Below are 13,722 nucleotides of genomic sequence, written 5' to 3' on the forward strand. Positions count from 1 at the left end.
CCGGGAGTCTGGGCAAAAAGAATGAAACTCTGTTTCAAAAAAAAAAAAAAAAAAAAAGGAGATGGGGTTTCACCGTGTTAGGCAGGATGGTCTCGATCTCCTGACCTCGTGATCTGCCCGCCTCAGCCTCCCAAAGTGCTGGGATTACAGGCGTGAGCCACTGCACCCCGCCCCTCTTTGTTTGTTTTTTAAGAGATAGGGTCTTGCTCTGTGCCCACATTGGGGTGCAGTGGTATGATCATAGCTCACTGCAGCCTCGAATTCCTAGGCTCAAGTGATCCTCCCACTTCAGCCTCCAGAGTAGCTGGGAGTACAGGCACGCAGCACTACACCTGGCTTATTTTATTTTTATTTTTTGAGACAGGGTTTCATTCCTGTCACCCAGGCTGGAGTGCAATGGTTCAATCTCAGCTCACTACAACCTCCACCTCTCGGGCTCAAGCAATTCTCCCGCCTCAGCCTCCCAAGTAGCTGGGACTACAGGCATACCTTGCCAGGATAATTTTTTCTTTTTTCTTTTTTTGCCATGATGCCCAGACTGGTCTTGAACTCCTGGCCCAAGTTGTCCTCCTGCCTCCCAGAATGCTGGGATTATAGGCATGAGCCACCACGCCCGGCCTCCTTTTATCATTATTTTAATTTTTTATAGAGATAGAACCTTGCAATGTTGCTCATGCTGGTCTTGAACTCCTGGTCTCAAGCAAACCTCCCGCCTTGGCCTCCCAAAGTGCTGGGATTACAGGCATGAGCCACTGCACCTGGCTCCCACTTAGATATGTTACCAGAAGCACAAGCAACCAAACAAAAAATAGATAAATTGGACTTCATCAAAATAAGTGTCTTTCCGTACCAAAAGACAATATCAAAAAAGTAAAAAGACAACACAGAATGGGAGAAAATATTTGCAAATCATGTATCTTATAAGGGACTTCTGTCTAGAATATATGAAGAAATCTTACAACTCAAAAAGACTTCAGATCTCTGGCTCTTTAATAAAAAAAGACAATCCCATTTAAAAATGGGCAAAGGATCTGAGAAGACATTTCTCAAAGAACTATATGTACGGTCAATAAGGACATGAAAAGATGCTCAGCATCATTAGTCACCAGGGACATGCAAATCAAAACCACAGTGAGATACCACTTCACACTCACTAGAAAGGCTATAATAAAAACCAAACCAGACAACCAAAGGAAAAAAAAAAAACAAAAACGGAAAAGAGGCTGGGCACGGTGGCTCATGCCTGTAATCCCAGCACTCTGGGAGGCCAAGGCCGGTGGATCACCTGAGTTTAGAAGTTGGAGACCAGCCTGGCCAACATGGCGAAACCTCGTCTCCATAACAAATACAAAAATTAGCCAGGTGTGGTGGTGGGTGCCTGTAATCCCAGCTACTTGGGAGGCTGAGGCAGAAGAATAGCTTGAACCCAGAAGCGGAGGCTGCAGTGAGCAGAGACTGCGTCACTGCACTCCAGCCTGGTGACAGAGCAGGACTCCATCTGAAAAAACAAAACAAAACAAAAACAAAAAACAACAACAAAAAAGAATTAGCCAGGTGTAGTGGCGCATGCCTGTAATCCCAGCTACTTGGGAGGCTGAGGTGGGAGAATCACTTGAACTCAGGAGACTGAGATTGCAGTGAGCCGAGATAGCACCACTGCACTCCATCCTGCGCAACAGAGCGAGACTGTCTCAAAAATAAAAAAAAAAGAGGGAGGCTGAGGCAGGAGAATCACTTGAACCGGGGAGACGGAGGTTGCGGTGGAAAAAGAATGGAAAAGAGCAAGTATTGGTGGGGACGTGGAGTCCTCGTACACTGCCAGTGGAATGTAAAATTGCAGCCACTTTGGGAAACAGTCGGGTAGTTCCTCAAAGGATCAAACAAAATTACCATCAACCCAGCAATTCCACTCCTTGATATTATCCAAGAGAAATGGAAAACATGTGTCCACACAAAAACTTTACCCAAACATTTATAGCAGCATGATTCATAGTTAAGTCAAAAAATTGAAACCCCAATATCCATCAACTAACAAATGGATAAATAAAATATTGTGGCTGGGTGTGGTGGCTCATGGGTAATAATCCCAGACCTTTGGGAGGCTGAAGCAGGTGGATCACTTGAGGCCAGGAGTTCCAGTCCAGCCTGAGCAACAAAGCAAGACCTCGTCTCTACAGAAAAAAAATAAAAATTAGCCAGGCAGGGCCAGGTGCAGTGGCTCACACTTGTGATCCTGGCACTTTGGGAGGCCAAGGTGGGTGGATCACTTGAGCTCTGGAGTACAAGACTATCTTGGACAACATGGTGAAACCCCATCTCTACCAAAAATATAAAAATTAGCCAGGTATGGTGGTGCGTGCCTGCAGTCTTAGATACTCAGGAGGCTGAGGCAGGAGGACCCCTTGAGCCCAGGAGGTTGAGACTGCAGTGAGCTATGATCATGCCACTGTACTCCAGCCTGGGTGACAGGGCAAGACTCTTGGTCTCCAAGAAAACAAAAACAAAAAACAAGGCCTCCAGTACACACTAAGGTTTGAGAAACACGGGTATAATGCAATGCAAAGGTGAGAGGCAGGAGTCATATCATAGCATGATCAGAGCTGATGTTTATTGAGTGTTGACATGATCTCATGTAGTTTCCAAAAGCAACTTATGAAATGCTGGTGCTACTATTATCCCATTGGACAGATCAGGAAACTGAGGTGCAGAGAGGTGAAGTGACTTGCCCAAGGTAATAGAGCTAGTGAATGGCAGGGTTGGCACCTGAAAGTCAGTTCCTTCTGCCCCCAAAGCCCATGCTATTAACCAGTGGGTCAGCATTTCCTAGATCTGGGTCCACAAACATCACTGGTCGTAATGGAGTAGTCTCAGGGGGAACTTGCATGTTCATTTTAAACTCCAATAGTTACATAACTATTTAAAGTAAAGTAGAAAATACATATATATCACCTCAAACTCATGATTTTAATAATGTTTCCCTTTAAAATAACTGAATGTATATTAAAGGTTAGTTGCTTTAATGAAAAATATTAAGTAAATAAAAGTACTGTTAGGTTCAGATATGGCAAATATAGTAGAAAGGGTAACAATGAAGTATGAGAAACACTAAGTCAGACTCAGTTTTTTTGTTTTTTTTTTTGAGACAGAGTCTTGCTCTGTTGCCCAGGCTGGAGTGCAGTGGTGCAATTTCAGCTCACCACAACCTCCGCCTCCTGGGTTCAAGCAATTCTTGCGCCTCAGCCTTCCAAGTAGCTGGGACTACAGGTGCAAGCCACCACACCTGGCTAATTTTTTATATTTTTCGTAGAGACGGGGTTTTGTCACGTTGTGCAGGCTGGTCTCAAACTCCTGACCTCAGGTGATCTGCCCGCCTCAGCCTCCCAAAGTGCTGGGATTACAGGTGTGAGCCACAGTGCCTGGCCCAGACTCAGTTTACTGTAAAAATATGTAACAATTTATACATTTTACTGTGTATAAAAACTGTACCTAAATAACAGGATGCCAGGAGCAGTGGCTCATGCTTGTAATCTCAGTACTTTGGGAGGCCAAGGCAGGACTGCTTGAGCTCAAGAGTTCAAGACCAGCCTGGGTAACATAGGAAGATCGCGTCTCTACAAAAAAAAAAAAAAAAATTAGCTGGGCTTGGTGGCATGCACTTGCAGTCCCAGCTGCTTGGGAGGCCAAGGTGTGAGGATTGTTTGAGTCTAGGAGGTCAAGGCTACAGTGAGCCATGACTGTGCCACTGTACTTCAGCCTGGGTGACAGAGTGCAACCCTGTCTCTAAAAATAAAAAAAAATAATAAAATAAAATGCCTCAGGTGCCAACCCTGCCATTCATTAGCTCTATCTACTCACTGATGGAACAGTGAATACATAGATTTGATGGGGGCTGGACTACATGATAAAACAACTGTAACAAAATGTTAACATAGAACAGGGTGGCGCATACTCAGGATGATTCACTGCACAATTCTTTCCACTTCTCTGAAAACTTTCATGCTGGAAAGAATGTCCAACATGATTGTTTACAGATTGTCCCAAACAATGAATGCATGAATGAATGAATACGTAAGGCCTCAAAGATGGCAGAGGCCAGGTACAGTGGCTCACACCTGTAATCTCAGCACTTTGGGAGGCCAAGGTGGGCGGATCACCTGAGGTCATGAGTTTGAGACCAGCCTGGCCAACATGGCAAAATGTCGTCTGTACTAAAAATATAAAAATTAGCCAGACATGGTAGTGACCACCTGTAATCCCAGCTACTCGGGAGGCTGAGGCAGGAGAATTGCTTGAACCGGGAAGTGGAGGTTGCAGTGAGCCAAGATCACGCCATTGCACTCCAGCCTAGGTGACAGAGTGAGACTCTGTCAAAACAAACAAACAAACAAACAAACAAACAAAAAAGGGAGAAATCTGCTGACATACCTTCTTTATGCTGTCTATATATAGGAAAGTGGGCATGTATTACTTTCATAATAAAAGTTTCTTTTTAGAGACAAAAACGATATAAGAAGTCCATGGATAAAATCGGCATTTATTCAGAAGGCATGATGCCAGGAAGAAACTCCCCAAGTGGGAGACAATGGCTGGCCCCCCTGCAAGGGAAACAAGGCTTCAGCCCTTCCCTACTCCCAGACCTGCCGGGAAGGCTGGGAGCACAGTTCATGGAGGGTCTCTGGGGTGGGCCTGGGTGTCTGACCTGTCCCTCTGCCCACAGGTGAATGTGACCTGCGTCCTGAGGATCCCGAGTATCAGGAGAGCTGGCAGAGGAAGTCATGCAGAGGCAAAGCCAGGAGCCCCGACAGGGAGATCCCCAGTGTGTCAGAGATGCAGGTGGCCGCCATTGCAAACTCCCGGTGCTCATCACTGGTCTGGGAGGGCAGAGAGCAGGGGTGAGGCTTCAGTCCCAGACATCCCTGCCCTGGGTGTCCCTGGACAGGCCACCCCCAGCCCTTGCCCGGCCAATGCTGACCTCCAGGGCGATGTTGTGGAAGGTGTTCACGTAGGCTGCGCCTCCCAGGAGCCCCTCATACAGAATGATCAGGAAGACGAGGTAGATGCTTGGCAGAAAGCCGAACCACACGTCTGCCAGCAGGAACACCAGGTTGAGGCACTGTGAACAGGGGGAGAGGCTAAGCCTGGGACCAGGGCGGGGCAGGGAAGGAGAGGTGGCCTCCCCTCCAGGGGTCCCTGGTTTTAGGAGTTACTGGTGAAGGAGAGGGCTGCCAGGTCTAGATAAAATCTCAACACCAGCCCGGTGTGGTGGCTCACACCTGTAATCCCAGCACTTTGGGAGGCTGAGGTGGGCAGATCACCTGAGGTCAGGATTTCGAGACCAGCCTGGCCTGGTCTCTACTAAACATGGTAAAACCCCATCTCAACTAAAAATACAAAAATTATCTGGGTGTAGTGGTTCTGTAGTCCCAGCTACTTGGAAGGCTGAGGCAGGAGAATCACTTGAACCTGGGAGGCAGAGGCTGCAGTGAGCCAAGATCGCAGCACTGCACTCCAGCCTGGGCAACAGAGAGAGACTCCATCCCAAAAAAAAAAAAAAAAAATTCTCAACCTCAGCCTGGTGCAGTGGCTCATGCAGGTAATACCAGCACATTGGGAGACCAAGGTGGGATGATCACTTGAGGCCAGGAGTTCGAGACCAGCCTGGGCAACATAACAAAACTCCGTCTCTACAAAAAATTTAAAAATTAGTTGAGCATGGTGGCACGCACCTGCAGTCCCAGCTACTCGGGAGTCTGAGACAGGAGGATTGCTTGAACCTAGGAGGTGGAGGCTGCAGTAAGCTATGATTGTGCCACTGCACTCCAGCCTGGGTGACAGAGCAAGATCCTGTCTCATAAAAAAAAAAAAAAAAAAAAAAAAAAAAATGGAGGCTTCTTAAAGGAAGTGGGACCATCGAAACCAGGATTTCTCAATTGCAGCACTCTTGGCGTTTGGTGCTGGTTGTTCTGCATGGTGAGGGCTGTCCTGTATATGGCAGCGCATTTAGCAGGATCCCTGGCCTCTGCCCGCTAGATGCCCATAGCATCCCTCAGTTGTGACAACCAAAGCATGCCTGCAGACGTTGCCAAACATCCGCTGGGCAGCAAAATTGCCCCTATTGGAAAAACCGTTGGTTCACTATGGTAAAACAAGGTGGGAGTAGCCGGGCATCCTATTCAGCTGGGCTCGAACTCCTGGTCTCAAGCAGTCGCTGCCCCCCTGCCTCAGCCTCCCAAAGTGCTGGGATTATAGGCAGGAGCCACCGCACCTGGCCAGGAAGCCTCTTCGATCCCCACCCCAGGGTGTAGGTCCCACCTCTGTGCCCCAGTCTCTCAAGGAGGTGCCATCCTCCCAGCACTGACCACGCCACATTGCCTCTTGTGCAGTGTGTAGGCCTCCTCGTGGCGGTTCATACTTTTCGTATATGTAAGAATTGCCTGGGGATCTAGGTACAAATGCCCCAAGCGGGGCTTACCCTAGAGGTCCTAATTCATTAAATCTGAGGTAGACTTAAAGATGAGCATTAAAAAGGACACACCTCTAGCCAGGTGTGGTGGCTCACACCTGTAATCCCAGCACTTTGGAAGGCCAAGGCGGGTGGATCACCTGAGGTCAGGAGTTCAAGACCAGCCTGGCCAACATGGCGAAACCCCATCTCTACTAAAAAATACAAAAATTAGCCAGGTGTGGTGGCACGTGCCTGTAATCCCAGCTACGCAGGAGGCTGAGGCAGAAGAATCGCCTGAACCTGGGAGGCGGAGGTTGCAGTGAGCCAAGATCACGCCATTGTACTCTAGCCTGAGCTACAAGAGCAAAACTCTGTCTCTAAAAAACAAAACAAAACAAAACAAAACAAAAAATTTGCTGGGCGTGGTGGCGCACCTGTAATCCCAGCTACTCGGAAGGCTGAGGCTTGAGAATCGCTTGAATCTGGGAGGCAGGGGTTGCAGTGAGCCAAGATTGCACCGCTACATTCCAGCCTGGGCAACAGAGCGAGACTCCATCTCAAAAAACAAAACAAAACAAAAAACATTATAGCTAAAAACATGTAGCTTAAAACCATAAGCTACATGTTTCAGTGGTATCTACAAGCACCCTGAGTTATAAATTTGGGGTTTTGTGGGTACAAACCCTGGGCTTGCAGCACTGCTCAGATAAATAAGGAAGGAGGCTGGAGGATATTTACATGCTTTTGCCATAATATGAAAGTGTAATCTTTTTTTTTGAGATAGGGTCTCACCCAGGCTGGGGTACAGTGGCATGATTATGGCTCACTGCAGCCTGGAACTCCTGGGCTAAAGCGATCCTCCTGCCTCAGCCTCCCGAGTAGCTGGGATTACAGGTGAATGTCACCACACCCTGTTGTTGTTTTTTGTAGAGATGAGGTCTCGTGATGTTACCCAGGCTGCTCTCTCAAACTTCTGGGCTCAAGCAATTCTCCCACCTGGCTTATTTTTTTTTTTAATTTTTTGTAGAGGTGGGGGGTCTCACTATGTTGTCCAGTCTGGTCTCAAGCTCCTGGCTTCGAGTGATCCTCCCACCCTAGCCTCCAAAAGCATTGGGATTACAGGTGTGAGCCACAACACCTAGCCTAAAGTATAATCTCTATTTCTGTATTTTGCTATCACAGAATTGAGTTCCTAAGTCTTTTTTTTTGGAGATGGAGTCTCGCTCTGTGGCCCAGGCTGGAGTACAGTACTGCAATCTCGGCTCACTGCAACCTCCATATCCGGAGTTCAAGCAATTCTCCTGCCTCAGCCTAGCGAGTAGCTGAGATGACAGGCAGGTGCCACCACGCCCAACTAATTTTTGCATTTTTAATAGAGACGGGGTTTCACTGTGTTGGCCAGACTGGTCTCAAACTCCTGATCCTGACCTCAGGTGATTCACCTGCCTTGGCCTCCCAAAGTGCTGGGATTACAGGTGTGAGCCACCAGGACTGGCCAAGTTCCTAAATTTCAAAGGCAGAAGACTTTCCTGTCACAGTTGACAGTTTATTGTAACAGTTACCTGCAGGGGCTGTGGATTTGTAACCTTGAAACAATGAATGCTGGTTATATGAAACTCCTTTTATTAGACTGTTGTAAGGAAGGGTGTTTGCGCCCTTAAAGCTGTAAACTACTGTTTGCCAAGGGCAGTTGAATTTGCTCACCACCCTCAAGATAAATAACCCACTGACTTCAAAGTCACCAATTCTATTATAATTAACTATCTAGAATAAAAGAACTGTACATTTTCTTATAGTTAGAAACATTATTTGAAAGCCTGTCTCTTTGCCTGAGGTAAATGACCTATGATCATGCCACTGTACTCCAGCCTAGGCGACAGAGGAAGGTTCCGACTTTTCCTTTCTTTTTTCTTTTTCTGGGAGACAGGGTCTCGCTCTATTGCCTAGGCTGGAGTGCAGTGGCATGACCTTGGTTACTGCAGCCTTGACCTCATGGGTTCAAGTGATCCTCCCACCTCAGCTTCCCAGTAGCTAAGACTACAGGTGTGCGCCACTGCACCTGGCTAATTTTTGTAGAGATGTGATTGTGCCATGTTGCCCAGGCTGGACTTGAACTACCAAGCTCAAATGATCCACCTGCCTCAGCCTCCCATAGTGCTGGGATTACAGGCATGAGCCACCTGGCCCGGCCCAATCCCAATGCTTAAAACACACACACACACACACACACACACACACACACACGCACACACACACACACACACACTACAAAATCTTGTTCTTCGATTCTTTCTCTCATCTCTATTTCTTACAACTACCCTGAAAAATAGGTATTGGCCACACCCAATTTATACATGAGGAAATTGAGGCTCAGAGAGGTTCTGAGACCTGCCCTAAGTCACACAGTGGCTGAGTACTGAAGCTCAGTTTTGCTTGGCTCCTGAGGCTATACATTTTACATGGAGCTCTGCTGGACTTTGGTTCCCTGTGCTAAGAAATGATAGTGTACAATTTACACTTCCCTGTAATCCCAGCACTTTGGGAGGCTGAGGCCGGCAGATCACCTGAGGTCAAGAGTTCAAGACCAGCCAATATGGCAAAATCCCATCTCTACTAAAAATACAAAAATTAGCCAGGTATGGTGGCGGGCGCCTGTAATCCCAGCTACTCAGGAGACTGAGGCAGGAGAGTCACTTGAACCCGGGAGGCAGAGGTTGCAGTAAGCCAAGATTGCGCTACTGCACTCCAGCCTGGACGACAGAGCGAGACTCTGTCTCAAAAAAAAAAAAAAAAATTTACACTTCCCACTGATAGTGGGAAGCAGGGGGTTTGGGGAAGCTGGGAGCCAAGCTGGGAGCCAAGGTGGGAGTGAAGTGAGGGGCAGGGGTTTGGTACCTGCAGCAGGGCCAGGGCCCAGGTGAAACGGATGCGACAGCAGCGGAGAGAAGAGCGGGAGGCAAAGACGCCAGCCTGGTACAGCATCTGGTACCTGAGGTTAGGGTTGGGGGGAGGAGAGGAGGCTCCTCCAGGGACCATCCCGCTCCCCCCGGTGCCTACTGGGCAGGGCAGCTGCATCACCACGGCGCCCTCCCAGCCCACTGCCCTCGCTCCTCTTACCAGCGGTATTGCTGAGCGTGACTCAGGGAAGTGTTCCAGAAAAAGAGGAGTTCAAACTGCAACAAATACCAGACAGGGGAGATGGACGGGGCTGTGTGGGTCCCAGCCCCAATCGCCACCTCCACACCCCTCCTAGCACCCCTCACTTACAAGTCCCTGGTTAATGAAATACTCGGCAAAGTAAACTACGACCAAGGGAACAATGTACCACAGCAGACCCTGGAAAAGGCAGAAGATATAAGCGGGGGGCCTGGAGGTGAGCAAGCCCCACAGGGACATACCCCAGCCATCATCCGAACCTTGAACACTGTCCACCTTTCCCGAAGGGAGAGGCTGGAGCTGGAGCCTGCAGGGGAACAGAGAGAGAAGGGCAGATGAAGTTTTCACACTGAAGACTCGGCAAAGAGGCACCGGTATGACAGAATTAACCAGACCACGCAACAGTGGGAACTCACTTCCATGCCACTGGATTGGACACTTAAAAATGGTTAAAATGGCTGGGCGCAGTGGCTCATGCTTGTAATCCCAGCACCTTGGGAGACTGAGGTGGGCGGATCACCTGAGGTCAGGAGTTCAAGACCACCCTGGCCAACATGGAGAAACCCCATCTCTACTAAAAATACAAAAATTAGCCATGTGTGGTGGCAGGTGTCTGTAGTCCCAGCTACTCGGGTGGCTGAGGCAGGAGAATCACTTGAACCCAGGAGGCAGAGGTTGTAGTGAGCTGAGATTGCGCCATTGCACTCCAGCCTGGGCAACAAGAGCGAAACTCCACCTCAAAAAAATAAAGTAAGATAAAAAATAATAAAATGGTAAACTTCAAGTAATATACATACTTTATCATGATGAAAATAAAAGCTAACCAGGTGAGACCTCTTCACGTCTCTTTGATTTTTAATTTTTTTTATTTTTTGAGACAGAGTCTCACTCAGTTGCCCAGGCTGCAGTGCAGTGGTGCAATCTCAGCTCACTGCAGCCTCTGCCTCCTGGGTTCAAGTGATTCTCGTGCCTCAGCTTCCCAAGTAGCTGGGACTACAGGCATGCACCACCACACCTGGCTAATTTTTTTATTTTTAGTAGAGACGGGGTTTTACCATGTTGGCCAGACTGGTCTCAAACTCTTGATCTCAAATGATCCATCTGCCTCAGCCTCCCAAAGTGCTGGGATTACAGGTATGAACCACCACGCCCGGCCAATGTCTCTTGTACAGCTCCACAGATGGCCATTGGCCCACCCTGCCCAGTCTCACTGGCCATTCTCTGGTTCTAGAACATCCCAGCTTATCCCCACCGCAGGGCCTCAGCACTTGTGATTGGAATGCCTGGCACATGGTAAGTACTCAATTAATATCCCTTCTTCTCTCCCTCCCTTCCTTCCTTTCTTTTCTTTTTTTTTTTTTTTTTTTTTTTTTTGCGACAAGGTCTTGCTCTGTTGCCCAGGCTGGACTCAGACTTCTGAGCTCAAGTGGTCCTCCTGCCTCAGCCTCCCAAAGTGCTGGGATATTACAGGCGTGAGCCACTGTGCTCGTCCTCAACAAGTATTTCTCAAATAGACAAAGGCTTTTCCCATAACCAGTACACTCACTCTCTTTCCCCTCTTAACTTTGCCTATTGCAGAGAGGAAAAGGCCAAACCCAGAGAGAAAGAAAGTGACCTCTCTGAGGGTCTGTGTCTCCTACCTGGCTTCGACTCCGGGGCCTCGGTTCTTATGAGGGGCTGCCGGGCTGCGCTCTCTGCTTCTTCTTCCCCTCCAGGGTCCTGGGCCTCAGGAGATGTGAGCAACAAGAAATAGCTAGGAGTAGGATGAAGGCAGGGTCAGAAAACCCTACTGGCTGGGAAGGTCCCCAGGGACCATCTAGGCCACTTTTCCCAGGGAACACCTCTACCTTTGAACACTTTCAAAGATGGGTAGCTCACTGCCTCTAAGGCTCCTACGCTGTGCGGGAGAGCTCCAATTGTGGACAAAGGCTTCTTTCTTTGGACCTGAATTTATCTCCTTATTCCTATTCATGGGCCTTCATTTTGTTTTGATTTTTTTCAGAGACAGGGTCTTTCTCCAGCATCCAGGCTGGAATGCAGTGGTGCAATCATAGCTCACTGCAGCCGCGACCTCCCAGGCTCAAGCAATCCTCCCGCCTCAGCCTCCCAAGTAGCGGGGACTACAGGCACGTGCCACCAAGCCCGCCTCATATTTTCCATTTTTTGTATAAATGGAGTCTCGCTATGTTGCCCAGGCTGGTCTCAAATTTCTAGCCTCTAGTGGTCCTCCAGCCTCAGCCTCCTAAAGCACTGGGATTACAGCTGTGAGCCACTGTGCTCAGCAGGCCCTTGTTCGGACTGCTGGCTCATACCTAGCGAGTCAGTTCTGTTTTCTGGCCATTATTATTCTAATGGTCGCTCTAGCTCCCATTAATTATACGTTCACTCTGTGCTAGGCCAGAACTTCCTCGATTTTAGTCACTTAGGTTCTGGCTTCATGTTATTTGCCATATCCATATTCCTCCTGTATATATATATTTTTACTTAATATTTTTCTTTAAATGGACTCACTTTTTCTACTTAGACTTGTCCTAAGCACTAATCTTGTGAAGGGCCAGGTGTGTCTGGCTAGTTCAAAGTGTGTGTTTTTTTTTTTTTTAGACGGAGTCTCGCTCTGTTGCCCAGCCTGGAGTGCAGTGGCACAATCACGGCTCACTGCAACCTCTGCCTCCTGGGTTCAAGCGATTCTTCTCCTCAGCCTCCCAAGTAGCTGGGACTACAGGCAAGCGCCACCAAGCCTGGCTAATTTTTGTATTTTTAGTAGAGACGGGGTTTCACCATATTGGCCAGGCTGGTCTCAAACTCCTGACCTCGTGGTGCGCCCGCCTCGGCCTCCCAAAGTGCTGGGATTACAGATGTGAGCCACCATGCCCGGCCAAAGTGTTTTGTAATATGCATGAAAATACACAGAACTAATCAGGCCGGGCGCGGTGGCTCACGCCTGTATTCCTAGCATTATGGGAGGCCAAGGCAGGTGGATCACTTGAGGTCAGGAGTTTGAGACCAGCCTGGCCAATACAGTGAAACCCCGTCTCTACTAAAAATATAAAAAATTAGCCAGGCATGGTGGCATGGGCCTGTAGTCCCAGCTACTCGGGAGGCTGAGGCAGGAGAATCACTAGAGCCCGGGAGGCCGAGGCTGCAGTGAGCTGAGATCACACCAGTCACTGCACTCCAGCCTGAGTGACACCATGAGACTCCGTCTCAAAAAAAAAAAAAAAAAAAAAAAAAAAAGGGAGTCGCCATGGTTCAGGCCTGTTGCCCTGGCACTCAGGCAGGCAAGGCTACACATTCGAGGCCAACCTGGTCAACACTGATTAAAAAAAAAAAAAAAAAAAAAAGGAACTAATCAAATAAAGTCCACCCTCATCCTACTTCTAATCACCTTGGGAACCACACTGTGCTGAATGCATTACCCTCATCACCTCCAAGGAAAGCAAGAACAACTGCCATTTGAGATATGGGGAAACTGAGGGTTCAGAGAGGTGGAGTAACTTGTTCAACGCTACAAAGCTAAAAAGTGGCAGCTCCAGGACTCACACCTGGGGCTATCAGAGTCCAGATTCCGCCTCCCTTCACAGCAAGGTAGGGACTTGAAGATTGCAATCATAATCAAGTTTTCTTTTCTTTCTTTTTTTTTTTTTCTTCCTGAGACAGAGTCTAACTCTGTCGCCCGGGCTGGAGTGCAATGGCACGATCTCGGCTCACTGCCACCACTGCCTCCGGGGTTCAAGCGATTCTCCTGCCTTAGCCTCCTGAGTAGTTGGGACTACAGGCACCCGCCACCACACCTGGCTAATTGTTGTATTTTTAGTAGAGACGGGGTTTCACCATGTTGGCCAGGCTGGTTTCCTGACCTTAGGCGATCTGCCCTCCTTGGCCTCCCAAAGTGCTGGGATTACAGGCGTGAGCCACCACACCCAGCCATGGCCAAGTTTTCTCTCCTTGGACCCCTCTCCCTCCCGGCTCAGGGCAGCTCACCTGGCCAGCAGCAGGGCAGGGATACCCAGCATGGACAGCAGGGTCTGCTGAGGGGAGAGGCCGGCCTGGGTGAGGCCCAGGTAGGACAGGGCCCCCAGCAGCCCAGCTCCCCCAGTCCCTGAGGACCACCAGGAGATCAC

At 48.7% G+C, this 13,722-nt stretch overlaps 1 protein-coding gene across 6 annotated transcripts in view, besides 1 other annotated feature; it reads right to left on the minus strand.

Moving 5' to 3' along the window:
• The window catches only part of CLN3 (CLN3 lysosomal/endosomal transmembrane protein, battenin), a 25,430-nt gene that overhangs the window by 6,112 nt on the left and 5,596 nt on the right, over positions 1-13,722 (minus strand). For 3 of the 6 annotated variants that reach the window (NM_001286104.2, NM_001286105.2, NM_001286110.2), the window contains 8 exons: positions 13,583-13,722; positions 11,242-11,354; positions 9,862-9,908; positions 9,713-9,781; positions 9,563-9,618; positions 9,341-9,434; positions 4,973-5,113; positions 2,587-4,871 (listed from right to left, as the gene is read on the minus strand). The exon at positions 13,583-13,722 is cut by the window's right edge and continues 4 nt beyond it. In NM_001286104.2, the coding sequence (NP_001273033.1) occupies positions 4,752-4,871; positions 4,973-5,113; positions 9,341-9,434; positions 9,563-9,618; positions 9,713-9,781; positions 9,862-9,908; positions 11,242-11,354; positions 13,583-13,722 (780 nt within the window). In that variant the 3' untranslated portion in view covers positions 2,587-4,751. Of the gene's footprint in view, positions 1-2,586; positions 4,872-4,972; positions 5,114-9,340; positions 9,435-9,562; positions 9,619-9,712; positions 9,782-9,861; positions 9,909-11,241; positions 11,355-13,582 lie in introns of those variants that run through there. The other 3 variants (NM_000086.2, NM_001042432.2, NM_001286109.2) reach the window with 2 other exon arrangements.
• Positions 1,062-1,131: a silencer, noted in NCBI's record as "silent region_7308". NCBI's record gives its function as "represses an Ori minimal core promoter by ATAC-STARR-seq in GM12878 lymphoblastoid cells {active_cell/tissue: GM12878}" and the evidence as "EXISTENCE:reporter gene assay evidence [ECO:0000049][PMID:35858748]".

Source organism: Homo sapiens, chromosome 16 (assembly GCF_000001405.40).
Source record: "Homo sapiens chromosome 16, GRCh38.p14 Primary Assembly".
In the NCBI taxonomy this organism is placed as follows: domain Eukaryota; kingdom Metazoa; phylum Chordata; class Mammalia; order Primates; family Hominidae; genus Homo; species Homo sapiens.